The sequence below is a fragment of the Homo sapiens genome, chromosome 16 (genome assembly GCF_000001405.40).
Source record: "Homo sapiens chromosome 16, GRCh38.p14 Primary Assembly".
NCBI lineage: Eukaryota > Metazoa > Chordata > Mammalia > Primates > Hominidae > Homo > Homo sapiens.
Genome location: NC_000016.10, coordinates 84,503,809 through 84,529,738, shown reverse-complemented (window position 1 = coordinate 84,529,738; position 25,930 = coordinate 84,503,809). Strand labels below are relative to the sequence as shown.

Genomic DNA, 25,930 nt, shown 5'->3' with positions numbered 1-25,930 from the left:
TGTCACTGTCTCAATGAAGGACCCCGCTACATTCCCAGATGTACATTCCAGAAACCCAGGAGGCATCTTGATGGCACCGAGTCCAGCTCCCTTCCACTTCCAGCCCTCTAGTCAAAGCCCCTGCCATCCTACACCTCCTCACTGGGTTCCACTCTTTCCATCTATTCCCATACAGCAGCCAAAGTGACGTTCCTACAATGCATAGCTCAGCATGACACTTACTGCTGAAACCTGTGAGCCCCTCCCATTGCTCTGAGAACGCGGTCCTACAGGCCCCTCCTGAGCTGGTCTTGCCCACATCTGTCCTGGCTTGCTCTTCTCCAACGAACACCTGCTTCCTTTAGACTCTCCACATGGCTCTTTCTCCTTCCCCAGGCCTCCCTATAGCCTGGACTGATGTCCATTCTCTCCCCTCATCCATCTTTTCCTCTCCATCTCCTAGGTCTCAGCTGGTCTTTCACCTCCTCAGGAAGCCCCTCTTCTCCCTGAGTGGTTGCCATCCAGCTGTTATATACCCTGTGGGCCCTGTGGTGTTTTTCTCCTCAGCACTTGTGACTAAGGGATTATGTGCATAATATGGGGTTTGCTGGTATCTTCCCTTTAGAGTGGCAGAAACCGTGTCCATCACCACACTTTGGCAGTGCTTAGCCTGGTGCCCAGCAAGGAGTAGGTGCTCCAGAAAGATTTGTTGGATGAGTGAATGAGAAAATAAAGAAATGACAGCCAGGTGCGGTGGCTGTCATGCCTGTAATCCCAGCACTTTGGGAGGCCAAGGCGCGGGAATCACTTGAGCCTAGGAGTAGCCAACATGGCAAAACCCCATCTCTACTAAAACTACAAAAATTAGCCAGGTGCGGTGGTGCATGCCTGTAATCCCAGCTACTCGGGAGGCTGAGGCAGGAGAATCACTTGAACCCGGGAGGTGGAGGTTGCATTGAGCTGAGATCGGGCCACTGCACTCCAACCTGGGTGACAGAGTGAGACCCTGTCTCAAGAAAAAAAAAAAAAAAAAAGAAAAGAAAGAAAATGAAGAAATGAGACACGCTCTCCATAGGCACCTTCTGTCTCTAGCTCCTAAGTCTTCACACTCACGGTTTCAGCACGGGAGGAGCTGAAACACTAGTTCCCTCTTTGAAGTCATGAACATCGAGGGTTTGGGTGTCCAAGTGAGAGAAGTAACCCACAGAAACAGTTGTGACCCCTTTATGACCTTTATAAAAGCCATAGGCAGAAATCACAAGCCCCCTGTGGCCCATATATGGATGGCGCTAAGTGAGCTTGGCAGCTTCTGCAGGCGGTGCAGCATCCCTGCAAATTCACTCCAGCTTTCAAAGAGGGGTCAGGTGGGGGTGGTCTGGCAGGTGTATGGAACTGGGCAGAAAGACAGGCCTATGAGAGATGCCCTGTTGCACCCTTAGGAAGAGCGGGCACTGTCCTAGGAGCTCTTGTTCGTTAGGTGCCCAAAGTCTGAAGCAGGTGTCACCCACCCACATCTTACAGATGGGGAGAGTGAGGCTAGTTAGATAGCTGGCTCAGGTCACACAGCCAGTGGATGTGCAGAGCGTGGCTCCTTGGCCCCAGCTCTTTGTCCCCACGCTCTGCTGCCTCTGGCTGATGGGGAGCACTTTACAACGAGCTGCCCCACGCACAGGCCTTCAGGATTTCTGCTCTGTCATGTGATTCAGTGAGTGACCTTGGGCATCAGCCCAACCCACTTCTCTTTTCTTGGTGTCTCCTTTCTGTTCTCTGTGATCTAGGGCAGTGGCTGAGGACATCAATTCTGGAGTTAGATCCGAGGTGTGAGCCCCCAGCTCCTCCCCTCCTGTGTGATTTCGAGCAAGTCAGACCACCTTTCTGTGCCTTGATTTCCTCATATATAATATTTGCATAATACCTGAGCTTGCTTCATCAAATTGTGGAGATGATGACATAAGTCACTGCTGGTAAAGGCCTTAGAATAGTGCTTGGCACATAGAGCAATGCGCATGCCTGCTATTAACATATTTTAAGATAACAAATCCACATTGGCTCAAAGAACGGAACTTTGTTGGAAAATTCTCTTAATCTGTTCCTGGGTGCCCTGCCAAGCAGTCTGCTCTGCTTAGAGCCAGGAGGCTCAGCTGGAGTCCCTGCCCACCCTGCCCGCCCCGGCCCCCCCTCGCTGTGTGCCCTTGGGCAAGTTGCTGGATCTTCCTGAGCATTCATTTTCACGCCTGTGAAATCAGGCGTCGTTCTTCTCCGCAAGAGGCCTCTGAGCATTCAAAGAAATACTGACTCAAAAGCAGCAAGTAGCTCAATCTGAGAGTCTTTTCTCTTCCTTCTAACCACGTCATCCAAGATTCACACGGGCACATCAAACATCCCAGGACTCACCCTGCTTCCGTGAGCGTGGCCGCCTGCCACCATTGGAAAGCCCTCGGAGTCATTAATAACATAGTCTCAAAAATAATAGCCACCGTCTTTTCCTGTTTTCCAGCTTGTGGGCTGACGAGCGGCTGGAATTGTCATCTCCACAGTGGGATTGGCAGAGGGACTGGAAGGACTTTGGGAACTCTAAGTCCTAACAAAGAAAACAGTCCGCCCGGGGCTCTCCGAGGCTGTGGCCTCCACTGTGGGTGTGTGCTGAGGCTTGGACCCGTTTGCCCCTTCCCGAGGCATCACATGACTCTCCTGAGCGGGAGAAAGGTCCCCCTTCCTTGTCGTGTGTGCAGGGGGAGCCCTTGCCTGGTTGTGCTGACCGGGTGGATTTGTGCTTTCTGACGGGGATTTGCACGAAATCTGCTTAGACCGTTAGCCCGGCTGGTGCTGCCAGACAAAAGGCAGCAGCAGAGGCGGGGTCCACGTGGCTGCAGGAAGGAGATGGAAGAGCAGAAGGAAACACCCCTCCTCCAGTCTGGAGCGGAGACACTGCCCTGCACACAGGGCTGCGGTGGGAGGCCTGATCACTTGCGGCTGTTGTGATTTTCAAGGATAGGCTCAGGGAGAAGAGATGGGGTCAGAGAGCCTTCGAGGCAGTTTCTGGAGGCAGGGGCTCTGAAAGCTCCCCTCTTAGGTTCTTCTGAGCAAATGGCCACCCGTTCCCTGGACCTTCATTTCCACAACCAAGGGATGCTTAGTAGTAATGCAGAAAGTGAGTTGTGAGGGTAAAGTATCTTAACCATTACGCTGGTGTCCTTGGGGCAGGGACAAAAATATTAACAAACAGGCCAGCATGGTGGCACACACCTGTAATCCCAACACTTTGGGAGGTAGATGTGGGAGGATCACTTGAGCCCAGTTCAAGACCAGCCTGGGTAACAAAGTGGGACCCTGTTTCTTTCTTTCTTTTTCTTCTTTTTTTTTTTTTTTGACTTGGAGTCTCGCTCTGCTGCCCAGGCTGGAGTGTAGTGGCGCAATCTTGGCTCACTGCAACCTCTGCCTCCCGGGTTCAAGTGATTCTCCTGCTTCAGCCTCCCGAGTAGCTGGGATTATAGGTGCCCGCCACCACACATGGCTAATTTTTTGTAGTTTTTAGTAAAGACAGGGTTTCACCATGTTGGTCAGGCTGGTCTCGAACTTCTGACCTCAGGTGATCCACCACCTTGGCCTCCCAAAGTGCTGGGATTACAGGCCTGAGCTATCACACCTGGCCAGAACCCTGTTTCTAAAAAACGAAACCAAAACAACAACAACAACATTAGCCGTGTGGTGGCGTGCACCTGTAGAACCAACTACCCAGGAGGCTGAGGCAGGAGGATCGCTTGAGCCCAGGAGGTTGAGGCCGCAGTGAGTCGTGATGGTGCTGCCGCACCCCAGCCTGCGTAACAGAGCAAGACCGTGTCTCCAAAAAAAATTAAAAAATTAAAAAATTAAAAGTTAACACGTCTCCATGTCCTCTGAGCTTCCAAGTAGGGCTGGTGAATGGATGAACGGTTTGGCAGGTCTGGGATCCTGGTGGCTCTGATCAGGTAGCAGCTTATGTTGACATCAGGGAGAGTGCCGTGGAAAGATCCACGGAAGAGGAGGTCATGCAGGGGTGAGGAAGAGGTGTTGGAGGCCCACGCTGGGCAGGCTGCTGCTTGGCGTGGGCCTCTGGGGCCACGTGTGAGCACCGAGGACGCTTGTTACATGTCTTTGGAATCCCATTCCTAGATTTGGGGGCAAGCACACATTATGAGTTCTGAGCTAGAAACCACTCTTTGCCAGTTCCAGTCTCATGGGAAACAGATTCGAATCCCGAGTGGGAGTTAGATGTGCCAGCAATGTACTGGATGTAATGCCCATGTGGGTCGAGGAACTGGGGAGAGGAGTGGGTGCTGAAGGGCTTCAGCCGTGGGACGTGTCTGACACTGACAGAGCGGAGGGGGAGGGAGGATGGCAGTTTGGGAGCGGGGAAGAGCCTCAGCCTGCAGAGCAGCAATGAGAAAGTCGGGGAGCCCAGAATAAAGAGGACTGAGCGGAGGGGGCGGAGTGGCCGGGCTCTAGGAGAGGACTGAGTGGAGGGGGCGGAGTGGCCGGGCTCTAGGAGAGGACTGAGTGGAGGGGGCGGAGTGGCCGGGCTCTAGGAGAGGACTGAGTGGAGGGGGCGGAGTGGCCGGGCTCTAGGAGAGGACTGAGTGGAGGGGGCGGAGTGGCCGGGCTCTAGGAGCCATGCCCTGTCTCACATTGGCTGGGAGCCGGGACACCACCAGATTCTGTCTTGCAGGGAGATCTGAGCCGTGCACCCCCATGGCCACCACAAACCCAAGAACACAGACACAGTAGCCCAAAAAGAGGGATGGATTCTGTTATTGGAGCTGGGGTAAGGTGAGGAGGGGGTCCCAGGCTGAGGGCTGCAGGGGGACCCATAGGATGGAAGCACTTTCAACACTGTTTCAAACAGGCTGCCACATGGGAACCACCTAGACCTGCAGGTTCCTAAAGCTGCCCTTTGGTGCCACAAGGCCCCATGTCTTCCCAAAGCTCCCGCCGGTGTGACAACAGATTATAGTTACATACCAGTGGTTCTTGGTGCTGCTGGTCATTGGAACCCCCGGTGCCTGCACCCCATCTCCCAGAGCTTGCCACTCAGCCGGTCTGGGAGCAGCCCTGGCAGCCGGGCTTGTCTAAGCATCCCACGAGATCCTGGCAGCAGGGCAGCGGGGCTCAGGGCTGCTGGCCACAACAAGAGCAACAGGAGGTCTGATCTTTTGACTCAACTAGCTGTTGGCTGCGGTCGACAGCGTGCGCTATCAAAGTCTGTGCATCCATGTGTGTGTCTCAGCTCAGGCGAGCTCTGAGGCTGCCTGAAGCCTGCTCACCAGGGCCATGGACCCTCCCATTCTGTGGGTCTCATCAACCCAACCCCCAGGTCCCTTAGCGTCAGGTGTTAGAGGTTTCAAAAAGCACAGCCAGATGAACGTTCTTTTTTTTTTTTTTTTTTTTTTTTTTTGAAATGGAGTCTTGCTCTGTTGCCCAGGCTGGAGTGCCATGGCGCAAACTCAGCTCACTGCAAGCTCCACCTCCCGGCTTCACACCATTCTGTCTCAGCCTCCCGAGTAGCTGGGACTACAGGCGGCCGCCACCACGCCCGGCTAATTTTTTTGTACCTTCAGTAGAGACAGGGTTTCACCGTATTAGCCAGGATGGTCTCGATCTCCTGACTTTGTGATCCGCCCGCCTCGGCCTCCCAAAGTGCTGGGATTACAGGCGTGAGCCACCGTGCCCGGCCAAACGTTCTTTTATTCAGGGCCAGATCATTTCCTGGTGGCCTCCCCTGGGTGTTGGTGCCCCAGATTAGTCCGTGAAATCTGCAGGACTGCGGGTAGGGCTGTGTCTGAAGGCCAAAGGATGCTCCCCCCATTCTGTGGGCCATCCGGCTGTGGTGCCCACATGGTATCCTTTCGAGGCGGGAGCTGCTGAGCTCCAGCCCCCTAGCTGCCCCTTTCTGCCCTCTGTTTCCTGGTGAGTGTAAAAAGCTGTCACCGGGGTTGTCAGCCAGTCATGGGAATGCACACAGCCTCCCTGCCAACTGGCAGAGGGCTGAAATCTCTTTAAAGGAGGACACAACCTTTCTTCCTTCCGGAGAAGAAAAGAGACCAAACAGATGTAAAACTGCCTGGAGAACAGTGACTTGAATACTCACAGGTGTGAGCCGCAGAGTAGGCCTGTCATGAGTTGAATGGTGGACATGTCCAGTCCTAAGCCCTGCACCTGTGGCCTTATTTAGACAGAGGGTCTTTGCAGATGAGATCATCCTAGATTAGGGGTGGGTCCTAAATCCAATGACTAGTGTCCTTCTAAGAGGCAGAAGAGGGCTGGGTGCAGTGTCTCACGCCTATAATCCCAGCACTTTGGGAGGCAGAGGCAGGAGGATCACTTGAGCCCAGGAGTTTGAGACCAGCCTGGGCAGCAAAGTGAGACCTTGTCTCTACTAAAAGTGAAAAAAAAAAAAAAAAATTAGCCAGGTGCGTTGGGGCACCTGTGGTCCCAGCTACTCAGAAGGCTGAGGTGGGAGAATCACCTGAGCCCAGGAGGTTGAGGCTTCAGTGAGCTGTGATCGTACCACTGCATTCTAGCCTGGGTGACAGAGTGAGATCCTGTCTCAAAAAAACCCACAAAAACCCAACCAAAACAGAAGAAGCAGAAAAGAAGAAGAGATGGACACAGAGAAGGCCACGTGAAGCTGGAGGCAGCGATTGGAGCAATGTGGCCACAAGCCTGGGACTGCAGGCAACCCCCTGAGGTGAAGCAGCGGAAAGGCTGGTCAGATTCTTCCTCACAGTGCTCAGAAGGAACCAGCCCTGTGGATGCCTCGTTTTGGACTTCTGGCCTCCTGAACTGTGACACAAAAGACTTTGTTGCTTTCAGGCACCCAGTTGGTGATACTTTGTTACAGCAGCTACAGGAAACAAATACAAGATCTATTCCAGAAGAAATCAAGCTCTAGCCCTGGAGCTTGAGCTCCAATACCGGTCCCCGAAGAAGGGGCTAGGCAGATGGAGGGCTGGGAGTGCCCATACCCAAGAGCGCCAAGGGTCCCCTCATCACCTCCAAGCCTGGGTCAGGGACATCCTTGGGCAGCGCCTAGTCAGCTTTAAGGTGCACACGAGTCTCCCAGGATCTTGTTAAAATGCGGATTCCGATTCAGTAGGTCCTGGCGGCCGGAGGCTGCCTTCCTAACAGGCTGTCTAGCGACGCCGGTGCTGCTGGTCCCGGATCACCCTCTGAGCAGTGAGGTCTTAGATTAGTGCTTCTTCCTGGGTGTTTCCTGGTCTACATATATCAATGTCACCCAGATGCTGGTTAAAAATTGGAAAATCCGCTGGACGTGGTGGCTCACGCCTGTAATCCAGCACTTTGGGAGGCCATGGCAGGCGGATCACGAGGTGAAGAGATCGAGACCATCCTGGCCAACATGGTGAAACCCCGTCTCTACTAAAAATACAAAAATTAGCTGGACGTGCTGGCACATGCCTGTCATCCCAGCTACTCAGGAGGCTGAGGCAGGAAAATTGCTTGAATCCAGAAGGCGGAGGTTGCAGTGAGCCGAGATTGTGCCACTCCACTCCAGCCTGGGCGACAGAGTGAGACTCTGTAACAACAACAACAACAAAAAATTGGAAAATCCAGGACATCATTCCTGACCTACAAAATCAGGCTGCTTGGGACTGAGCCCCAGACATTTGTGTGTTTAACTGCGTCCCAGGACAGTCATATAACTACCGAGGCTTAAAGTATTCAGGGTTGGGCTGGGTGCAGGGGCTCATACCTATAATCCCAGTGCTTTGGGAGGCCAAGTCAGGAGGACTGCTTGAGGCCAGGAGTTTGAGACCAGCCTGGACAACATAGTGAGAACTTCATGTCCACACATACACAAAATCAAAACAATTAGCTGGGCGTGGTGGTGCATGCCTGTAGTCTCAGCTATTTGGGAGGCTGAGGCAGGAGGAGCTCTTGAGCCCAGGAGGTCGACGCTACAGTGAGCCATGATCACACCACTGCGGTCCAGCCTGGGCAACAGAGCAAGACCCTGCCTCAATTTTTAAAAAAAGTACTCAGGGTCTTGAGAACATAAAATAGACATGCCACATCTTTGTGGGTTTCTAGGATGATCAAGGCTGAGACAGTGGCCTTTGGAGGAACCTGAGCCTTTCTACTGGAAGAGGCAGGGGAAGGAACCACCCACGTGTTTAGAGCTCCTGGTGCTGTGCCAGGCCCTGCGCCTTACATTCATTAGCGTATTTCATCCTCAGAGCATCCCGTGAGGCAGGTCCTGTCCTTACTCCCATTTTACAGACGAGGAGCCTGAAGCCCAGAGAGACAAAATGTCTACTCAATGTCGCACAAACAGAGGTGGCAGAGTCAGCTTTCCAGTCAGCTGCCTGACGAGGCACCCCTCCCAGTTTCACAGTGTGACCCCTGCCGCCTGGCTTGGTCTCAGTATAGCTCTGTTTAAGCTGGTGCTTCTCAAACTTCAATGTGGATGTGAGTCACCTGGTTAAAATGCAGATTCTGGCTCCAGGTGATGCCAGCCCTGTTGGCTTGGGACCAGGCCTTGGTTGGTACGGGGTTGCGAGCAAGCGTACCGCTCCACAAACCCTCAAGAGGCACCTATGATGGAGTGGGGGCAAGTCCTGACCTGGGCAACTCCGTCCTGTTTTCCAGCCATGGTAACACCTGGGTAATAGGAACCACTTTGCCTTGGAATTGCAGAGCAATTGGCATTTCATAGAGCCGAGAAGTTTATTTGCTTGGTGAGCACCTGCTAACAGATTTCTTTGAAAACCCGACAGCTGTCCAGTGGCCTGCTGGTCTCATTAGGCACCTGGATGGAATTACCTTCTCCAAGCACCCAATGAGAATGGACACGCTCACTCTAAATTAGAAGAGCCTGGGAAATCAGGGCGATATAATTGCAGACAGGATGGAGGGAGGCGGTAGGAGTTCCTCTTACAGAATTGTGCCCTTGGGAGGCGGGAGGGGGAGCAGCTACAGCTGGTGGGGGCTTGGGCGTGCTACTCATCTCATCTCCCCTTTTCCTTTGAAGAACCGTGTTGGAGAGCTGCAGATCCCTGGTCACGTGAGAAAGCGATGTGTTCACTTTGGTTTTTTGAATCTGTCTTTTCTAAGGTTTAGGTTAAAATGACTTTATTTTGTGAAACAGGCAATGATAAAGGGTATTACTTTTTTTTTTCTTTTAAATATCCTTAGTGGGTGAAATAAGAGACAGCTTTGGATTACTCTCTTGATGTTTTAACTTGCCTATGAAACCCACAGTCTGGGAACAATATTTAGCCATCTGTATGTAGGAAGATGTGCATACTAGGATGTTAAACAAGTGTTGTACATAAAAGCAAAAGACGGAGCAACTGAAGTGCCTCTCAACGGGAATTGGCTCAATAAATTATTATCGACTTAGACAGTGGCAGGTTAGGAAAACGTAGATTGGCGTGAGCTCCTAATATATTGTTAAACGAGAAAAAAGTCAAGGAGTAAGACAGTCGTCTGCTTCCCGTGTGTCCATGTTTAAAGGCTGTAGGTGGAGGTGAATATGCACCTCTAGAACTTTGGGAAAATCCACGGGAAGCTTCTCGTGGCGGTTGCCTCCAGGGAGCAGGTCTGGAGGAGGTGGAGAGGAAGTTGCCTTTTTCTTAAGTCTTTAGGACTTTTTGAAAATGTTACTGTGTTTGCGGATGATGAAGGAAACTCCCAGGTCAGGGGCTGTGGTTGTGGGATTTTGTTTCTTTACACCTTGTTGTAGACAGAGCTGATCACACTGAAACCCCTGTGGGTTGGTCCGGGGGCTGCCTGAGTGCACACAGCGTGGGGCCTGCACGTCTTCTCGTCCGGGTTCTCACTCTCAAGCCTGCATCGGAGCCCCCAGGACGGCTCCTCAAAATGCAGTCAGCAGCCCACTCCAGGAATCTCTGACCCAAGAGCTGTGTGTGCGGCTTGAGGATTTTTGTAGTTTAACAAGTTCCTAAGGGGCTGCTGTGAGTCAAAACCCACACTGAGGACCAGAGCTGCCGGGGTTCCAGCCCTGGTGTTGGGTATTTCTCTCTCCAAATAACTTACTACCCTTTCCCCGCAAAACAGCAGGCGGCAGATGAGGGTCCATCCTTTGTGCCGAAACCCCTATTAACCTCAATAGGGAAGGCACCAGGTTCAAGAGGCCAACGAAGAGACTCAGAGACAGTGAACGAGACACAGGTTTTACTGCGGCGTACGGACAGGGGAGAGCGGGCTGCACAGGAGAGCCACGGCCGTCTGCAAACATCGTGCAGTTTACCCAGCATTTTCATTTAACCCCCTCCCCCTAACGGCCTCCACCTGGCAACCTGCATTTAACCAAAAACTCAGGGCCTCAACCTCCTGTACAGCTCGTGTTCCACGGGCCAGGCTGGGGTTGGGGTGGGGGAGAGGGAACTGAGGCTCAGATGTGTCTCATAGACAAGGAACGGATCTCGGGGTTGGCCAACCCAGATTCCCTAGCTCGGAACATGCATCCGCGTGCATCTGCCATCCAGGGTCATCCCCACCTTCTCAGGTACACTTCAGTGACTGTCCTCAGGCGCCCTACACCACCTGGCTGCTGTTTCCTGGTTAACCAGGAGAGCAGCTTCGTGACTCCACGCTGGCCTTGCCTGCAGTGTAGTCTCAGTTTTAAAAGCACCCACACCTGAGCCCCGCCCAGACCTGGGACATCGGAATCGTTAGTGTGGGCTCCGCCATGGGTATTTTTAAGAAAACCACAGGTGAACTTTGGATAGGGACTGTGGATTCATTTCCTAGGTCTGCTGTACCACAAACTGCGGGCAGGGGGTTAAAATCACCAGAAATCGACTTCCTCACAGCTCTGGATGCCACAAACCCAAAGTCAAGGTGTCAGCAGGGCTGGTGCATCTCGAGGCCTGTGGACGCTGTCTTCCTGTGTGACTCTTCACAATACCTTCCCTCCGTGCATGGCTGTCTCTGTCCAATGAAAAAGAAAAAAAGGCCATGCATGGTGGCTCCTGCCTATAATCCTAGCACTTTAGGAGGCCAGGGCGGGTGGATCACCTGAGGTCAGGAGTTCAAGACCAGCCTGGCCAACATGGCAAAACCCCAGCTCTATTAAAAATATACAAAAAAAAAAAAAAAAAAATTAGCCAGGCGTGGTGGTGTATGCCTGTAATCCCAGCTACTCAGGAGGCTAAGGCAGGAGAATCGCTTGAATCTGGGAGGCAGAGGCTGCAGTGAACCGAGATCTCACCACTGCACTCCAGCCTGGGCAACAGAGTGAGACTCCACCTCAAAAAAAAAAAAAAAAAATACCAGTCACACTAGATCATAGGCCCAGTACCCTGCTGTGACCTCATCTTAACTAATTCCATCTGCAATGACTCTATTTTCAAATAAGTCACATAGTCATATCCTGGGGCACTGGGAGAAAGACTTTAACACATGAATTTTGTGGAGGGATAGAATTTAATCCAATGAGACTGAATATAAGGTTTGCTTCTGGGCTGGGCGGAGCAGCTCACACCTATAATCCCAGCACTTTGGGAGGCTGAGGTGGGTGGATCACTTGAGTCCAGGAGTTCCAGACCAGCCTGGGCAACTTGGCAAGACCCTGGAAAATAAAATAAAAATCAGCCAGGTGTAGTGGCATGTGCCTGTAGTCCCAGCTACTCGAGAGGCTGACGCGGGAGGATCACTTGAGCCCAGGAAGTGGAGGCTGCAGTGAGCTATGATTGCACCACTGCACTCCAGCCTCAATGACAGCGAGACCCTGTCTCCAAAAAAATAGTTTGTTCCTCCAACCATCATGAGTACATGAAGTACTCAGACCTTGTGAAGGTGCGGATTCTGATTCAGGAGGTCTGGGGTAAAGCCGGGAGACTCTGCATTACCAACCAGAGTCCAGCAATTGACGCTCAGGTTCTATGACAAAATGATTGTTAATGTTGTTAGATGCATTGACAGTTCTGTGGTTAGTACAACGGCATCATTTTTTAAAAAATGCGTCAAATATGTTGAAAGCTTAAATGTCAGAATTGACCCACTTCGAACATTCCAACGAACAGTAGGAAAGGGCAGAATGTTAGCAATGGCTGAGTCTGGGTGGTGGGTATAAAGAGGGCTTGTTTTTTTAGTCTGGTTTTCCGCATATTAGACGTTTTTCATAATCTCTTTGGAAAAGCTTTCCAGCGCCTGGGGCTGAGTATCTCTGGGACGGGCCCTGGGGGATGGGTCTCGTGGGGCCTGGTATCAGTTCCCAGCTGGCGGTCGAGTTCTCTAGGGGAACAGGGCCTGCATGTAGCAGTATTTTTATTATTTTCAACCGCAGTCGCTTCTTCCTGTTGCCTTCTGGGTACTGGGAGGCACCCGGGAAGAGCTGGGATTCTGGGGTCCCCCAGTATGGTTTACCTGCTCTGGGGCAACAGGGACAATTTGGGTTTCTAAGCAACATTCTGGCTGGGTGCCGTGGCTCATGCCTGTAATCCCAGCACTTTGGGAGGCCGAGGTGGGCAGATCACCTGAGGTCAGGAGTTCGAGACCAGCCTGGCCAACATGATGAAACCCCATCTCTACTAAAAATACAAAAATTAGGTGGGTGCGGTGGTGGACCCTGGTCATCCCAGCTACTTGGGAGGCTGAGGCAGGAGAATTGCTTGAACCTGGGAGGTGGAGGTTGCAGTGAGCCGAGATCGCGCCATTGCACTCCAGCCTGGGCGACAGAGTAAGACTCCATCTCAAAAAAAAAAAAAAAAAAAATTCTTTGTTTCTGCTGTTTATTTGCTGACAGTGCATGCGTTTCTTTTCCTTACTGTGTGTGGGGGAGTCTGTGCCATGTTCTTAAGTCCTCTCCCTTGCTGTTTTTATTTAACCCCTTCTGGGTCCCAACTCTACCTGGCGGTGCTTGTGGACTGACCCTTCTCACTACTAGCCCGTGTGTGAGCCTTTACAGGGCATCTCCTCTCCCTCTGGAGGACATGGTCTCTCTCGCTGCCTCCTGTGTCCCCTGCCTTTACGTGATGCCCAGCACATAGGCACTCAAGTGTGCCGAACAGTGACTCTTACAGGTCTGGTCTACTCCCACGGAGCCTAGCTCAGGGAGGTTAATTAACCCATCCAAAGCAACCGAGCTGTGGTCTGAACTTCGGAGCCGGTGCTGTCCAACATCCAAATACAGACAATGGAGGTAGAACACAAGCCCTGTGTGCGATTCTAAGGTTTTCATTGTTCATGTTTTAAAACGAGAAATGGTAACATTAATATGCTTTGAACCTAATATAGCCAAAATACTATTTCTACATGGAATTTCTATTTCACAATTATTTTGGGGCAACATGGAAGAGATCATCGTGGTGATGGAACACTTCTGTATCTTCAGCATAGATGGAATAGTTGTGTTTTGTAGTGATGGTCACACGACTCTACTACCCTCGTGGGGAAATGACAGAATTGGACACACACATTGATTGCATCAATGTCTCTTTCCCAGTTTGGATTAGGTGAGTTAGAACCACAGGGAAACTTGGTGCAGGGTATATTGGACCTCTGTGCACTGTCTTTGCAACTTTCTGTTGAATCTATAATTATTTCTAAATAGTAGTTTATTTTTTTGAGATGGAGTCTTACTCTGTTGCCCAGGCTAGAGTGCAGTGGTGCAGTCTCGGCTCACTGCAACCTCAACCTCTTGGGCTCAAGCGATTCTCCTGCCTCAGCCTCCAGAGTAGCTGGGACCACAGATGCCCACCACCACTCTTGGCTAATTTTTGTATTTTTAGTAGAGACAGGATTTCGCCATGTTGGCCAGGCTGGTCTCGAACTCCTGACCTTGGGTGATCTGCCTGCGTTGGCCTCCCAAAGTGCTGGGATTATAGGCTTGAGCCACTGCTCCTGGCCATAAAATAGTAGTTTAAAATGTGAGATTTTAAAATTTAAAAAAATCAACCAAGTCTTTGAACACTGCTGCGTCTTTCACGCTTATAGCACATCTAGGTTTGGACCCGAGACATTCAAGCAGCGGGTGTGGCCCGAGGCCACAGTGTCAGACAGCCATGTCCCTTGCTCCCTGCCCCAGCACAGCCTTCTTGAGCTGGGATTGCAGGAGGCCTGCACTGTCTCTGCCATGGACCGGTTGCCTGGTAGAGAAGCTACTGTCCTGCTTGGAGCCTCAGTTTGTGTATCTGTTAAGTGCGAAGAATGACAGTGCCTATCCCAGAGTGCTGGCTGCCAGGGTTAAGTGGGATGCTGCGTGTTCGGCACTTAGCATGGGCCTGGCCCATGGGCGGGTGATTGTGAGCCTGGACCACATCTACCTGTATTAATCATGTTTACAATCCCAAACGGCAGCTTCATCTGGTTGTACCTAGTGTTAGAAAGCCCTGCTGCCTCCCTCTGTTCATCTCCGCGAAACAGTCCATTCCTGGCCATGTCTTCTCCTTTGAACTGCTGGGCAGGAAGCAGAATGACCTGTCTGCATTTAGTCTGGGCACCGACTCCCTGGTTGCCCTCGATGCCTGGTGACTTCTGGAAAGGTGGCTTGCTGCCTGCCTGCCTGCTTGGAGGCCAGACCTTCTGTAAAGATCCGTGCAAAGCCTCTTTCGAAACTGAGGACTTCCGTCACCAGCCCTGGCTGCACGTTGTCACTGGGCCTGTTCACCATATAAGGCAATCCCTGCAGAGGCAGGGACCCAGGTAAGCAGGCGGCCCCACAAGCCTCGCTCCACTAAGCCACAAAGGCTCCCCAGCCGAGTGTGTGCACAGAGGACTTCAGCAACTAGGAGATTTTGTCACCTTTTATGGTGTTAGAAGAAGAAAAAGACCTGTGTACCACAAAAGCAGAAACAGAGCCTTAGCGCAGTGAGAACCGTGGGTTGAACTCACAGCGACTCTTACTGCAAAAGCAACGTTTTGTGAGAGGCCCAGGATGAAGCTACCTCTGCAGGGTGCCTGGTGCCCAAGATAAAGTGACAGGAGCTCTGAGCCTGGGGTTCCTGTGCAGTGGCAAGACAGCAGCGGCAGAAATCAGCTGCAGAATTTAAGTTGGTGGGGCTTTTGGATGGGGCATAACCCTCCCCCACGACCCCTCCTTAGCCTCGTGGCTCACCCACGGGGTCTTTCCCCACACCATCCTCCCCCAGATCAGGCTTCTCCACTGTCCTTGAAGCCTGTACTGTCGTCAAAGAACATCACCTCCCTCCACCCCCATTATTTTCATCCCAGTTCTGGGCTGCGGGCCACGTAAGCCAAGGTGGGGTGGAGAGTGGGCAGGAAGATCTTGGGGACACCTGAAGGATGAGGGAGGGAAGAACATGGGGACACGTGTTCCAGGCAAAGTGGAAAGGCCCGGGTGAAGGAGTTGAGCTGGGCCGTGCGCGTGGGGAGAGAGGACCATGGAAAGGTCGGGGTGAAGGAGTCGAGCTGGGCCCTGCATGTGGGGAGAGACCAGGCCCAGATGGTGGGGGCTGAGTGAGAGGGCAGCCTAGGGTGGTGGGCAGTCGTGGAAGGGTTTTAAAGTAGGTGAGAGGCAGGATCCATTTTACCTGGGGGAACTGAGTGGGGCAGGAGCAACCAACCGACCATTTGTTCATTCGGTAGCCATTTCTTTTTCTTTCTTTCTTTCTTTTTTTTTTTTTTTTGACTGGCTCTGTCACCCAGGCTGAAGTGTGGTGACACAATCACAACTCGCTTTAGCCTCTACATCCTAGGCTCAAGCAATCTTCCCTCCCCAGCCTCCCGAGTAGCTGGGACCAGAGACGTGGGCCACCACGCCCAGCTAATTTTTGACTCTTTGTAGGGTTGAGGGACCTCCCTGTGTTGCCCAGGCTGGTCTTGAAATCCTGGGCTCAAGTGATCCTCCCATCTTGGCCTCCCAAAGTGCTGGGATTCCAGGTGTGAGCCACCACTCTCGGTGAGCAGCTGTTTCTTGAGCCCCGGCTGCGGGCCAGACCAGGCCCAGGTGCAAGGGACATACACATGACGTCCCTGCGCTCAGGCTCTGTGTCTTGGTGGCACTTAGAGGACAGGGTGACAGTCTCCCTCAGCCTTTTGGACGCTGCTTTTCCTTTGCTGCCTTTTCCTGGATTTTTCTTGTTATCCGAAAGACCGCCAGGGTGGCTAAATGGTAGAAAGGAGAGCTTGGCGGGGGTATCAGTTTGCAAACTGGAAGAGACGGTCTCCAGTGTGTGCCAAAGGTAACCCCTCTTCCAAGAGGGGAGGAACAGGCTGGGTTTTATGCCTAACAGGGCCTGTAGCCCACAATAGTTGTACATATTCAGCAGGTTCGGGAGGAAGTGATATATATTTATGAAGGGAGCCGAGTGCATGGGCAGTGGGTAAACACATGTGACATACATATAACGTATATCACATGTTCACGTTGGAGTGAGGTTAGCATTAAAGAGAGGTGGAACTTGGCTCTTTGTGTGAAAAGGTGAACTGTAGGGCACACAGTCTGTGGGTAGCTTCTGTAAGCCGCCGAAACAGGCTTAAGGTCTGTAATTACTTATGGGAAAAGAATGTAAGTCCATTCCTTCGTCCGGTCAGAGTTGTAGCGGTTGGGATTGTAAATCAGAGTTAGGATAATTTGCCTGATAGCTCCAATTATTAGGGTGTTTTGCAAATGTGTTTTTTTTTTTCTTGCCGCCATAGGGATTTTAAAATTTGCCATGCCAGGCCAGGTGCAGTGGCTCATGCCTGTAATACCAGCACTTTGGGAAGCTGAGGTGGGCAGATCACGTGAGGTCAGGAGTTCGAGACTAGCCTGGGCAACATGATGAAACCCTGTCTGTACAAAAAATATAAAAATTAGCCAGGTATGGTGGCACATGCCTGTAATCCCAGATTCTTGGGAGGCTGAGGTGGGAGAATCGCTTCAGCCCAGGAGGCAGAGGTTGCACTGAGCCAAGATCGCGCCACTGCACTCCAGCCGGGGTGTCAAATAAATAAATTGGGCCAGGTGTGGTGGCTCACACCTGTAAACCCAGGACTTTGGGAGGCTGAGGCGGGCTGATCACGAGGTCAGGAGTTTGAGACCAGCCTGGCCAACATTGTGAAACCCCGTCTCTACCACAAATACAAAAATTAGCTGGGTGTGGTGGCGCATGCCTATAATCCCAGCTACTCAGGAGTTTGAGGTGGGAGAATTGCTTGAACCTGGGAGGCGGAGGTTGCAGTGAGCCGAGAGCACGCCATTGTACTCCAGCCTGGATGACAGTGAGACTCTGTCTCAAAAAAGAAAAAAATTAATTAATTTCCCATGCCAGCTGGGCCCTGAACCTTGAACACTGGAACCACAGGTAACTTTGTTTCCTTAACCTTATGGTCCATCTTAGCTGATACAGGGGCATCTATTTTGGCCTCTCAGATCACATTTCCTATCACCTCTGAAAGGATCCTGACTTAAGTTTTACCTGGGTAATTCAGAGGTGGGAAGAGGCAAGAACCCTAAGTTACTATTGGGTGCCCTAACTTTGAAAACCGCTGGGCCCTTCCCCCTGGTTGTAAGTTTCCACTTTGTTCTCACACCATGTGACCAGCACCCTGTCCCCCAATTCTCACCCCTACCTCCACTGTCCTAACCGAACTCAGTGCTCCAATGGCCAAGCGTTCAGGAAATGGTTTCCAAAAGCCAAAAAATGATCCAAGAGTACAGAATAGAAGGGGAGTGGAAGGGCAGCCTCATAGCAGGAGAGGCGGACAGGTGCCACCTCAGCCAGGTACTCAAGGGCGACATCGACGGCCGTGAGCCACACTGATAGTTCTGGCCCTTGAAACGATGTGACGAGAAGGGCCACTTCACCTCTGGGGTCTGTCTCCCAGACCCATACCCCCGTCCAATCACGAGGAGACCATCAGCTAAATCACAATAGTGGGGGACACTTGACTGAATCCCTGACCAGGACTCCTCAAATTGTCAAGAGCATCAGAAACAAAGAGTCTGAGCAACCGCGAGAGCCAGGAGCAGCCTGGGGACACCTGATGGCTAAATGTCTCGTGGGACCTGGGGTAGAAAAGGACATTAGGCAAACACGAAGGAAGAGTGAATAAAATGCAGGTGACTTACTCATATATGAATTGGCTCCTTCATGGTGACAGATGGACCAGAGTCATGTCAGATGTTAAGGCGCAGTGGAACAGGGTGCGGGTCGCACACGAACTCTCTATCATATTCTCAACAGTCCTTTATGTCTAAAACCATTGTAAGATTTCTTATTTAAAAACCATCACGGTAGCCATGTGTTTTGCGGTGATCGCGAGCGCCACCTGGTGGACACAGGACAGCATTGGCCGTGACCAACCTCCCTGGAAAGGAAGGAACCATTGCAGAGGATGCATGATGCGATGAGCCGCTGTGATTGATTCCGGTCTTGGGAAATGGAAAAGGCAGCTTCCTGCCCCGCAGTGGCTCCCAGTCCGGTGGAGGGAAATGGTGCAAGGCAAATTCAGGACTCCTGGTCACAGCCAGCATCTGTTCCATCTTTACCTGGGGTTAGGGACCAAGCTGACGGATCCCATCTTAACTCGTCCAAGGCAGCCTGGAGGGGTGCCACAATGCAGTCAGCCTTGTTTCCTGCTGCCCCTCAAACCTGCTCAGTGGGAACGCGGGAAGAGGGCTGCCCTCTTGTCCCTTCTTTCTACGCTATGAAAAGCCCAGACCTTTCCCGTGATTTTTTTTTTTTTTTTTTGACTATTCCTAGGGAATTAGTTCCTGGTACCACTTTAGATCAAAAGCAGTCTCTATTCATGAATTTAAAATGTTCGGTCCCAGGTAGTAAAATGTGGATGCTGACTTACCATTAGCTTTCCCCCATGCCCCCAAGAGCCTACTGGGGCAGCAGGGACTGTGGTTTTTCTCTTCCCTGCTACCCTCCTTCCATGTAGCTGCTGTTTTTGATGAGGATTGCCAGATAACAGGATGCCAAGCTAAGTTTGCATTTCAGATAAAGAGTGAACACTTTTTTAGTATAATTACATCTCATGCAATATTGGGGTCTTTTTCTACTAAAAAAAAAGTATTTGAAACTCAAACTTAGCTGGGCTTTTTTTTTTTTTTTTTTGACAGGATCTCACTCTGTTGCCGAGGCTGGAGTACAGTGGTACGATCATAGCTCACTGCAGCCTTGACCTCGTAGGCTCAAGTGATCCTCCTATCTTAGCCTCCCAAGTAGCTGGGGCCACAGGCTATTCATGAATTTAAAATTCATGCACCACCATGCCAGGCTAATTTTTGTCTAAGATACAAGGTCTCAATATGTTCTCCAGACTGGTCTTGAACTTCTGGACTAAAGCAATCCTCCTGCCTTGGTCTCCCAAAGCATTGGGAGCCACTGCACCTGGCCACTATCCTCTATTTTTTTTTTTTTTTTTTTTGAGTTGGAGTCTGGCTCTGTCACTCAGGCTGGAGTGCAGTGGCGTGATTTTGGCCCACTGCAAACTCTGCCTCCCGGGTTCAAGCAATTCTCCTTTTTCAGCCTCCTGAGTAGCTGGGATTACAGGAGTGCATCACCGCCCCTGGCTAATTTTTGTTTTTTAGTAGAGACAGGGTTTCACCATGTTGGCCAGGCTGGTTTCGAACTCCTGACATTGTGATCTGCTCGCCTCGGCCTCCCAAAGTGCTGGGATTACAGGCGTGAGCCACTGTACCTGGCCACCTATATTTTTATTTTTGGTGTCTGACCGCCTGATTTGTGACCCCCTTCCGGCTCGGAAGGAGGGATAGGGCACGGGAAGTTTTCACTTGCCCAGTGGGGTGAGATGTTGGCTTCCCATTGGTGCTATGAGAAATGACCCAAAAACTCAGTGGCTGAAGACACGTTAATGTGTTCTTACAGTCCCGCAATCAGAAGCCTAAAATCAAGGGGTCAGCAGCATGGTGTCCTCTGTGGAGGCTCTAGAGGAGATTCCCTTCCCTCTTCCATCTTCAGGGCGGTAGCGTGGCACTGTCCAGTGCCTCCTGCCCCCACCTGCTTCCCTACTTCCATCGCGGTCTCCTCCCAACCCTGAGCCTCCTGTCTTCCCCCATTAGGATTGCTGTGATTGCCTGGGGCCCACCTGGGTAATCCAGGATAATCGCCTCATTTCAAAGTCCTTAACTCAGTCGCATATGCGAAGTCCCTCTTGCCGTGTCAGGTAACATATGCGCAGGTTCTGGGGATTAGGTCATGGACGTCTTTGGGGGCTGTTCTGTGTCCCAAGGGGGTAAGCTGGCTTCAGGCGATCTGTGGCCCATGTTTCAAGTTGACTTTGAGCTTGTGGTCACTTGTGTGGATGTCCTTTGCGACTCTCCTAGCAGGCGGTGCCTGCTGCAGCCCTTAGCTGGGCAGTACCTGGCCTTTCACCCTCCTGGTTCACCCTGGGTCCTGGTTCACCCTGGGTCCTGGGTCACCCTGGGTCCTGGTTCACCCTGGGTCCTGGTCCTGTAGCCCCTCACTGCTGGGCTCCTGGTGTTCTACGGAAGGTCTCCTTCTGCGATGTCTCCAGGCTGCTGTGGCCACCTGTCCCAGATGCCCCACCTCTGACCTGCTGCTGGGAGGCAGGGCAGTCAGTTCCTGGCAACAGACCTTGCTCTGCTGCCCTGGCCCCTCAGCTGCCTCACGCGTGACATGGCCATTGGCTGGAGCTCTCCGAGGCAGGGCCACTGAAGCCCCCGAGCCCTGAGAGGCTGACCCTGCACTCACTCTAAGGGGAAATGGAACTCGGCCCTCTAGCAGGCCTCCACAGCCTTGACCCTTTCACACCACCATCTGTGTGAGGCCTCAAAAGATTGTGCACTTTCCTTGAAAAAAAAAAAAAAAAAAGAAAAATCTTAGTATCACTCCCATCGCATAAAATTAAGCATATTGAAGTGTATAATTCCATGACATTGAGGATAATACGTTCACAATTGCTGTACTATTGCCTCTGTTTAGTCCCAAAATATTTTTATTACCCCTGAAGGAGACCCCAGAGCCATTATTAGCAGTCACTCCTCATTCCTAACGCTCCAGCACTGGCAACCGCAATCTACTTTCTGTCTCTAAATTTGTCTTTTCTGAACATTTTACATCAAAGCTACAATATGTGGTCCTTTGTGTCTGGCTGCTTTCACGTAACCACAGTTTTTTTTTTTTTTTTTTTTTGAGGCAAAGTCTTACTCTGTCACCCAGGCTGTAGTGCAGTGCGCGATCTTGGCTCACTGCAACCTCTGCCTCCTGGATTCAAGCAATTCTCACGTCTCAGCCTCTTGAGTAGCTAAAATTACAGGCGCCCACCACCATGCCCGACTAATTTTTGTATTTTTAGTAGAGACAGGGTTTCACCATGTTGGCCAGGCTGGTCTGAAACTCCTGAGCTCAGGTGATCCACCGAGGTAGGTGATCCACCTACCTCGGCCTCCCAAAGTGCTGCGATTACAGGCATGAGCCACTGCGCCTGGCCATAACATCAGATTTTCAAGGATTATCCACGTTGTAATGTGTCAGTGGTTCATTCCTTTTTTTTAAATTGCCAAATATTATTCCATTGTGTGGATATACCATATCTTGTCTATCCATTCTTCAGATGGGCTTTTATCTTTTTTCCACTTTAGGCTATCGTGAACAGTGCTGCTTGAACATCCAGTACTAGTGTGTGTTTGAATACAGGTTTTCAGCTTTGTGGTGTATCTAGGCGTGGGACTGCTGGTCCTATGGTAACTCTGTTTAACTTTTTGAGGACTGATTTCCCCCATGGCTGAACCATTTCACCAGCAGTGCGGGAGGAGAGAACTACCTCCTCTCCAACACTCGCTATTTAAAAAACTTTAGCCCTCTTAGGCCGGGCATGGTGGCTCATGTCTGTAATCCCAGCACTTTGGGAGGTCAAGGTGTGAGGATCGCTTGAGCCCAGGAGTTCGAGACCAGCCTGGGCAACATCGCGAGGCCCCATCTCTACAAAAAATAAAAATAGCCTGGTGTGGTGGGGTACGCCGGTGGTCCCAGCTACTTACGAGGCTGAGGTGGGAGGATGGCTTGAGCCTGGGAGGTCGAGGCTGCAGTGAGCTGAGCCGTGATTGCATCACTGCACTCCAGACTGGGTGATAGAGCAAGATCCTGTCTCAAAAACAAAACAAAAACGTTAGCTATCCTAGTGGGTGAGCCGTACATTTATTTTTGATTTTCAATTTTGAATTGTTGCATGTGGTCCGGCAAGCACTGCACAATAGAATAACTGCCTGCCACATGTGGCCATTCAAACTGAAAATGAGAATAAATTCAATAAAATGAACTCGACTTCCTCTACTGCACAAGTCAGCCGTGGCTTCCGGCTCCATGCTGGCGGCACAGATGGATCGTTGCCCGCCTCACCGAGTGCTGCTGGAGGCTGCTGGTGGTGCCTCCTCAGGGCACGGCTGCTCCTGCGTTTGCTGCTTGGTGGTGGCCTCCTAACAGCCTGGCCCAGAAGGTGGTCCATGCAGCCCAAACTTGGGTTCCAGAGATGGGGAGTCGGGGGCAAGGAGCACATGGGGAAGAGAGAGTGGATGCTCAGCCACAATGGGGGCCCGGTGGTGGCTCAGCCTTTCTGTGGAGGTGTCAAAGCTGGACATGGAAAATTGGGCAGGGATGTCGCTAGCAGAGGCACCGCTGTGGATGGCAGGACCAGCCTGGTCAGGACCTCTGGGAGCCAAGGAGAGTTCAGTGCCCAAAGTCAGCATAAAAAACAGAAGCTGGTGCCCCGGGGGCAGTTGGACAGCCCATGGACATCCCCGGGAGCACCAGCTTGTTGAAATAGCATGATGTATATTTTTAAAAGAGTCTCACTTTATATGCAAAATGTCAAGCAATATAAATCTCTTATTTAAAAAAATTGAGAATACCAGGGGCGGTGGCTCATGCCTGTAATCCCAGCATTTTGGGAGGCCGAGGTGGGTGGATTACCTAAGGTCAGGAGTTCGAGACCAGCCTGGCCAACGTGGTGAAACCCCGTCTCTACTAAAAATATAAAAATTAACTGGGTGTGGTGGCCTATGCCTGTAATCCCAGCTACTCGGGAGGCTGAGGCAGGAGAATTGCTTGAACCTGGGAGGTGGAGGCTGCAGTGAGCCGAGATTGCGCCATTGCACTCCAGCCTGGGCAACAAGAGTGAAACTCCATCAAAAACAGAAACTTTCCAACCAGGCAGGTGGGCAGATTGGAGTGTAGGCTGTTTCTGGAGGGTATGGCCACGAGGTGGCGCCACTTCGGTAGCTCTCAAACGGCGCCGCTCCGCATTTGCTTCTGTGGTTTTCTGGGGGATTTTGTTTCACCGTTTTAATAACAAGATCTCACTTTCCTGCCCAGGCTGGAGTGCAGTGGTGCAATCACGGCTCACTGCAGTCTCGCCCTCTGAGGCTCAAGCGATCCTCCTGCCTCGGCTCCCTGAGTAGCTGGGACTACGGGTGTGCCATACCACGCCCGGCCAAGCTTTTCATTTTTTGTAGAGATGGAGTCTCACTATGTTGCCCAGGCTGACACATCGGCTCCGGTTTGCTCCTGCGGACCCCCCAGTACCTGCACCTGAGAGGCCACCATTGCTGTCCACCCTTGGTGTGCCTCAGCCTACAAAAAACTGTTGCTATGTCAAAAATGCCACTACCTCGGATGGCACTGAAAAAGACACACCTGGTTGATGTGTGCAGGAAGTACAGGGGTGTGAAGGCTGGAAACAGGGTCTAGTCCTTCATGTCTAAAGGCCCGTGTGTCTTGGGCATCAGGAGCCCTGGCTGCAGGTGACAGGCACCTACTCTAAGAAGCCGAGGTGAAGAGCTGGGGCTACTCGTGTCATTGGCATCCACAGCTGGGGGTACCCTGGCTGTAGATGCGTTAGTTTGTGGAGCTGCTTCTCCTGGGACATTGGCCTTGGATCTCAGAGCAATGTCTTGGTGAGGGGCCCTACCTTGTGCACTGTCACCAGCCAGGCCTGCTGCCCTCAGGCAGAAAGCCTTCTATTTTTGTTCCAGCTTAAAGAATAAGAGGTGACCAGCCGGGTGCAGTGGCTAACCCCTACAATTCTAGCACTGTGGGAGGCCGAGGCAGGCAGATCACCTGAGGTCAGGAGTTCGAGACCAACTCAAGCGGACGTTGGCGGGCGAAGTCACGGTTTTCCAGGCTGGAAAACCAGCAGGCCGTGCAGGGGAGAGAACTGGTACCATGGACATGCGGGAGCTGAATCTGCAGGAAGGTGGACCCCAGGGAGGATGCGTGGGGTGGAGAGAGTAGGGAGAAGTCGAGAAACTCCAGGGCAGAAGCCAGAAGGGCCCAGGGAAGACCACCAGGGACAGCGAGCGAGCCAGGGCCAGGAATGGGCGCCGGGGTGCCCAAGAGAGAGGTCTGATGAGAGCACGATCACCAAGCGCCAAATGCTGCCTGCGAGGACCCAAAGCGCACCTCGGATGTAGTGAGCAGGCCCCCGGGACCAGGTTTCGGTGGGTTTGAGAAGGAACGAGCTGAAGAAGTGGGGTGACAGGTTCAGACGTCTTGGAGTGAACGGGAACCGGCTGAAGAGGCGCACGTGGGGTGGAGGGAGTCTGTTTAGCCAGGCTGTGGAGCTGGCGCCTGATGGCTGCCGGGAAGGACCTGGTGCCAGGGAAGAGCGAGGCAGGGGCAGCTGGCAGAGGGAGGCCCGAGGGGAGGCGGACCCGAGGCTCTAGGCCAGGACCAGCAGGCCGGGGAGTCAGGGGAGAGTTGCCTGGGGCCCAGGAGGCTGCACTGCAGAGGCCTCTGCATGGGCTCCACATGGGCCACTCTCCTCCCCCGGGTGTCTTCACCCCCAAGCTCAGCCTCTCCCCCAGGATCTCCCACACCCTGGCTACTCCGCTCCAGCGCCCAGCCCAGACACCCCTTCTCCCCAGGTACCACTGCTGGCCTGGCCTGGCCTGAGTCATTGGCCGCCCTCTCCAGGCGCCTCCTTGGTACGCACGCAGCCGGGCCGGATTCCCGGGCCTGCAGCCGCTCCTCCCGCAGACCGCGGCCCCGCCCCGAGCCGCACCCACCGGGTTCGGCTCACTCCCTGTGAGGCGCGTCACCATTGGCTGACTCCTCTCTTGGGTTCCGCCCCACACCTCCGCTTCCACGATTGGACCAAATGACTGCCCCTCAGCAATGTTGCCTGGCAACAGGGAAGGGGCGGCTCTCGAGAGGAGCCCGTGGGCTGCTGGACCGGACCGGACAGCACCAGGAAGCCCGGCAGGGTAGGTACCTGGGCTGAGGTTCGCAGTGAGCTGACCCAGAGGCGCAGGCCCAGCTGAGTCGGGGGACTGGAGCAGACGGGTCCAGAGTAGGCCTGGGCCCTGCCCCTCCCTGGCCTCCCACGCCTCTTCAGGCCCTCGGGTCGGGGGAGGGAGAGGTGAAGGCTGCGGGGAGGTGAGGGGTGGGGACAGCGGGGCGGGATGGAGGGAGGGTCTCCTGGGGGGGATCAGAATCATCCTGCACCTCCCGCTGTTTATGTGGTCAAGGTAAGAGGGTGGCGAGGTGCTTCCCCCAGGGCCAAGGCCAGCCGTGTTGAAGGGGGATTCAGAGCCTGTGTAGACGCGGAAAGGGAGGGGTGCCTCCACGGAGGAGGCGAGTCTGGGGTAGACACTGAAGTGTGTGTGGAGGGGGTTTTCCTTCTTGTATTCTGACCACACCCATCTGGGCTTTTCCAGGACAGTGAGCTGATAACTGTTCCCAGGCCATGTAGGTGGCCAGCACAGGACAGGTCACCTTCTGGCCCACAGGAACTTCTTGCCCAGGCTCAAGCTGCCCCTTCGCACAAGGGCCTCTGGGCTCTGAGACACAGACAGGACTTCGAAGCCTGTCCAGATGAGGCAGTTGGAATCTCCCCAGCTTGTGGGGGTACGGAGGGACCCTTGTGTGGCTCTAGGGATGCGGGGCCCTTGGAGTAGAGAGTTGGAGCTTGGCAGCCAGGGTGGGAAGCAGCCATGTAACAGCCTGTTGGAGAAGCTCTGAGCAGGAGGTGACTAAGCCATTCCTAGGATACTAGT

General features: G+C 52.6%; 1 protein-coding gene and 2 long non-coding RNA genes across 5 annotated transcripts in view, besides 20 other annotated features; 1 reads left to right on the top strand and 2 right to left on the bottom strand.

Annotated features, from left to right (window-relative positions):
- Positions 4,591 to 5,175: an enhancer, noted in NCBI's record as "H3K4me1 hESC enhancer chr16:84558170-84558754 (GRCh37/hg19 assembly coordinates)". NCBI's record gives its function as "activates a minimal SCP1, AML or CMV promoter by ChIP-STARR-seq in naive H9 embryonic stem cells {active_cell/tissue: H9 hESC(naive)}" and the evidence as "EXISTENCE:reporter gene assay evidence [ECO:0000049][PMID:30033119]".
- Positions 5,176 to 5,759: an enhancer, noted in NCBI's record as "H3K4me1 hESC enhancer chr16:84557586-84558169 (GRCh37/hg19 assembly coordinates)". NCBI's record gives its function as "activates a minimal SCP1, AML or CMV promoter by ChIP-STARR-seq in naive H9 embryonic stem cells {active_cell/tissue: H9 hESC(naive)}" and the evidence as "EXISTENCE:reporter gene assay evidence [ECO:0000049][PMID:30033119]".
- Positions 9,720 to 9,799: a silencer, noted in NCBI's record as "silent region_7784". NCBI's record gives its function as "represses an Ori minimal core promoter by ATAC-STARR-seq in GM12878 lymphoblastoid cells {active_cell/tissue: GM12878}" and the evidence as "EXISTENCE:reporter gene assay evidence [ECO:0000049][PMID:35858748]".
- Positions 11,409 to 18,996, bottom strand: LOC124903735 (uncharacterized). Its single transcript, XR_007065148.1, has 2 exons — positions 18,017 to 18,996; positions 11,409 to 11,572 (listed from the first exon to the last, which is right to left on the bottom strand). It is a non-coding gene; the product is annotated as an uncharacterized LOC124903735 (long non-coding RNA).
- Positions 14,282 to 14,551: an enhancer, noted in NCBI's record as "active region_11241". NCBI's record gives its function as "activates an Ori minimal core promoter by ATAC-STARR-seq in GM12878 lymphoblastoid cells {active_cell/tissue: GM12878}" and the evidence as "EXISTENCE:reporter gene assay evidence [ECO:0000049][PMID:35858748]".
- Positions 14,722 to 14,801: an enhancer, noted in NCBI's record as "active region_11240". NCBI's record gives its function as "activates an Ori minimal core promoter by ATAC-STARR-seq in GM12878 lymphoblastoid cells {active_cell/tissue: GM12878}" and the evidence as "EXISTENCE:reporter gene assay evidence [ECO:0000049][PMID:35858748]".
- Positions 14,822 to 14,881: an enhancer, noted in NCBI's record as "active region_11239". NCBI's record gives its function as "activates an Ori minimal core promoter by ATAC-STARR-seq in GM12878 lymphoblastoid cells {active_cell/tissue: GM12878}" and the evidence as "EXISTENCE:reporter gene assay evidence [ECO:0000049][PMID:35858748]".
- Positions 14,912 to 14,961: an enhancer, noted in NCBI's record as "active region_11238". NCBI's record gives its function as "activates an Ori minimal core promoter by ATAC-STARR-seq in GM12878 lymphoblastoid cells {active_cell/tissue: GM12878}" and the evidence as "EXISTENCE:reporter gene assay evidence [ECO:0000049][PMID:35858748]".
- Positions 15,139 to 15,746: an enhancer, noted in NCBI's record as "H3K4me1 hESC enhancer chr16:84547599-84548206 (GRCh37/hg19 assembly coordinates)". NCBI's record gives its function as "activates a minimal SCP1, AML or CMV promoter by ChIP-STARR-seq in naive H9 embryonic stem cells {active_cell/tissue: H9 hESC(naive)}" and the evidence as "EXISTENCE:reporter gene assay evidence [ECO:0000049][PMID:30033119]".
- Positions 17,884 to 18,013: an enhancer, noted in NCBI's record as "active region_11237". NCBI's record gives its function as "activates an Ori minimal core promoter by ATAC-STARR-seq in GM12878 lymphoblastoid cells {active_cell/tissue: GM12878}" and the evidence as "EXISTENCE:reporter gene assay evidence [ECO:0000049][PMID:35858748]".
- Positions 18,294 to 18,353: an enhancer, noted in NCBI's record as "active region_11236". NCBI's record gives its function as "activates an Ori minimal core promoter by ATAC-STARR-seq in GM12878 lymphoblastoid cells {active_cell/tissue: GM12878}" and the evidence as "EXISTENCE:reporter gene assay evidence [ECO:0000049][PMID:35858748]".
- Positions 18,444 to 18,493: an enhancer, noted in NCBI's record as "active region_11235". NCBI's record gives its function as "activates an Ori minimal core promoter by ATAC-STARR-seq in GM12878 lymphoblastoid cells {active_cell/tissue: GM12878}" and the evidence as "EXISTENCE:reporter gene assay evidence [ECO:0000049][PMID:35858748]".
- Positions 19,442 to 20,241: an enhancer, noted in NCBI's record as "H3K27ac-H3K4me1 hESC enhancer chr16:84543104-84543903 (GRCh37/hg19 assembly coordinates)". NCBI's record gives its function as "activates a minimal SCP1, AML or CMV promoter by ChIP-STARR-seq in primed H9 embryonic stem cells {active_cell/tissue: H9 hESC(primed)}" and the evidence as "EXISTENCE:reporter gene assay evidence [ECO:0000049][PMID:30033119]".
- Positions 20,932 to 21,001: an enhancer, noted in NCBI's record as "active region_11234". NCBI's record gives its function as "activates an Ori minimal core promoter by ATAC-STARR-seq in GM12878 lymphoblastoid cells {active_cell/tissue: GM12878}" and the evidence as "EXISTENCE:reporter gene assay evidence [ECO:0000049][PMID:35858748]".
- Positions 21,992 to 22,492: an enhancer, noted in NCBI's record as "H3K4me1 hESC enhancer chr16:84540853-84541353 (GRCh37/hg19 assembly coordinates)". NCBI's record gives its function as "activates a minimal SCP1, AML or CMV promoter by ChIP-STARR-seq in naive H9 embryonic stem cells {active_cell/tissue: H9 hESC(naive)}" and the evidence as "EXISTENCE:reporter gene assay evidence [ECO:0000049][PMID:30033119]".
- LOC124903736 (uncharacterized) lies at positions 22,060 to 24,937 on the bottom strand. The gene is made up of 2 exons (XR_007065149.1): positions 24,804 to 24,937; positions 22,060 to 22,393 (listed from the first exon to the last, which is right to left on the bottom strand). It is a non-coding gene; the product is annotated as an uncharacterized LOC124903736 (long non-coding RNA).
- Positions 22,765 to 23,001: a silencer, noted in NCBI's record as "fragment chr16:84540344-84540580 (GRCh37/hg19 assembly coordinates)". NCBI's record gives its function as "represses an EF-1alpha promoter that drives an FKBP-Casp9 reporter gene in an ReSE screen in K562 erythroleukemia cells {active_cell/tissue: K562}" and the evidence as "EXISTENCE:reporter gene assay evidence [ECO:0000049][PMID:32094911]".
- Positions 22,985 to 23,104: a silencer, noted in NCBI's record as "silent region_7783". NCBI's record gives its function as "represses an Ori minimal core promoter by ATAC-STARR-seq in GM12878 lymphoblastoid cells {active_cell/tissue: GM12878}" and the evidence as "EXISTENCE:reporter gene assay evidence [ECO:0000049][PMID:35858748]".
- Positions 24,102 to 25,049: an enhancer, noted in NCBI's record as "H3K27ac-H3K4me1 hESC enhancer chr16:84538296-84539243 (GRCh37/hg19 assembly coordinates)". NCBI's record gives its function as "activates a minimal SCP1, AML or CMV promoter by ChIP-STARR-seq in naive and primed H9 embryonic stem cells {active_cell/tissue: H9 hESC(naive and primed)}" and the evidence as "EXISTENCE:reporter gene assay evidence [ECO:0000049][PMID:30033119]".
- Positions 24,620 to 24,739: an enhancer, noted in NCBI's record as "active region_11233". NCBI's record gives its function as "activates an Ori minimal core promoter by ATAC-STARR-seq in GM12878 lymphoblastoid cells {active_cell/tissue: GM12878}" and the evidence as "EXISTENCE:reporter gene assay evidence [ECO:0000049][PMID:35858748]".
- Positions 25,080 to 25,930, top strand: part of MEAK7 (MTOR associated protein MEAK7) — a 28,305-nt gene continuing 27,454 nt past the window's right edge. Inside the window, exons 1-2 of one of the 3 annotated variants that reach the window (XM_005256075.3) lie at positions 25,080 to 25,138; positions 25,592 to 25,781. The gene's annotated coding sequence lies outside the window, so the exon portion shown is untranslated. Of the gene's footprint in view, positions 25,311 to 25,591; positions 25,782 to 25,930 lie in introns of all 3 variants that reach the window. The other 2 variants (NM_020947.4, XM_017023511.2) reach the window with 2 other exon arrangements.
- Positions 25,170 to 25,670: an enhancer, noted in NCBI's record as "H3K4me1 hESC enhancer chr16:84537675-84538175 (GRCh37/hg19 assembly coordinates)". NCBI's record gives its function as "activates a minimal SCP1, AML or CMV promoter by ChIP-STARR-seq in primed H9 embryonic stem cells {active_cell/tissue: H9 hESC(primed)}" and the evidence as "EXISTENCE:reporter gene assay evidence [ECO:0000049][PMID:30033119]".
- Positions 25,290 to 25,339: a silencer, noted in NCBI's record as "silent region_7782". NCBI's record gives its function as "represses an Ori minimal core promoter by ATAC-STARR-seq in GM12878 lymphoblastoid cells {active_cell/tissue: GM12878}" and the evidence as "EXISTENCE:reporter gene assay evidence [ECO:0000049][PMID:35858748]".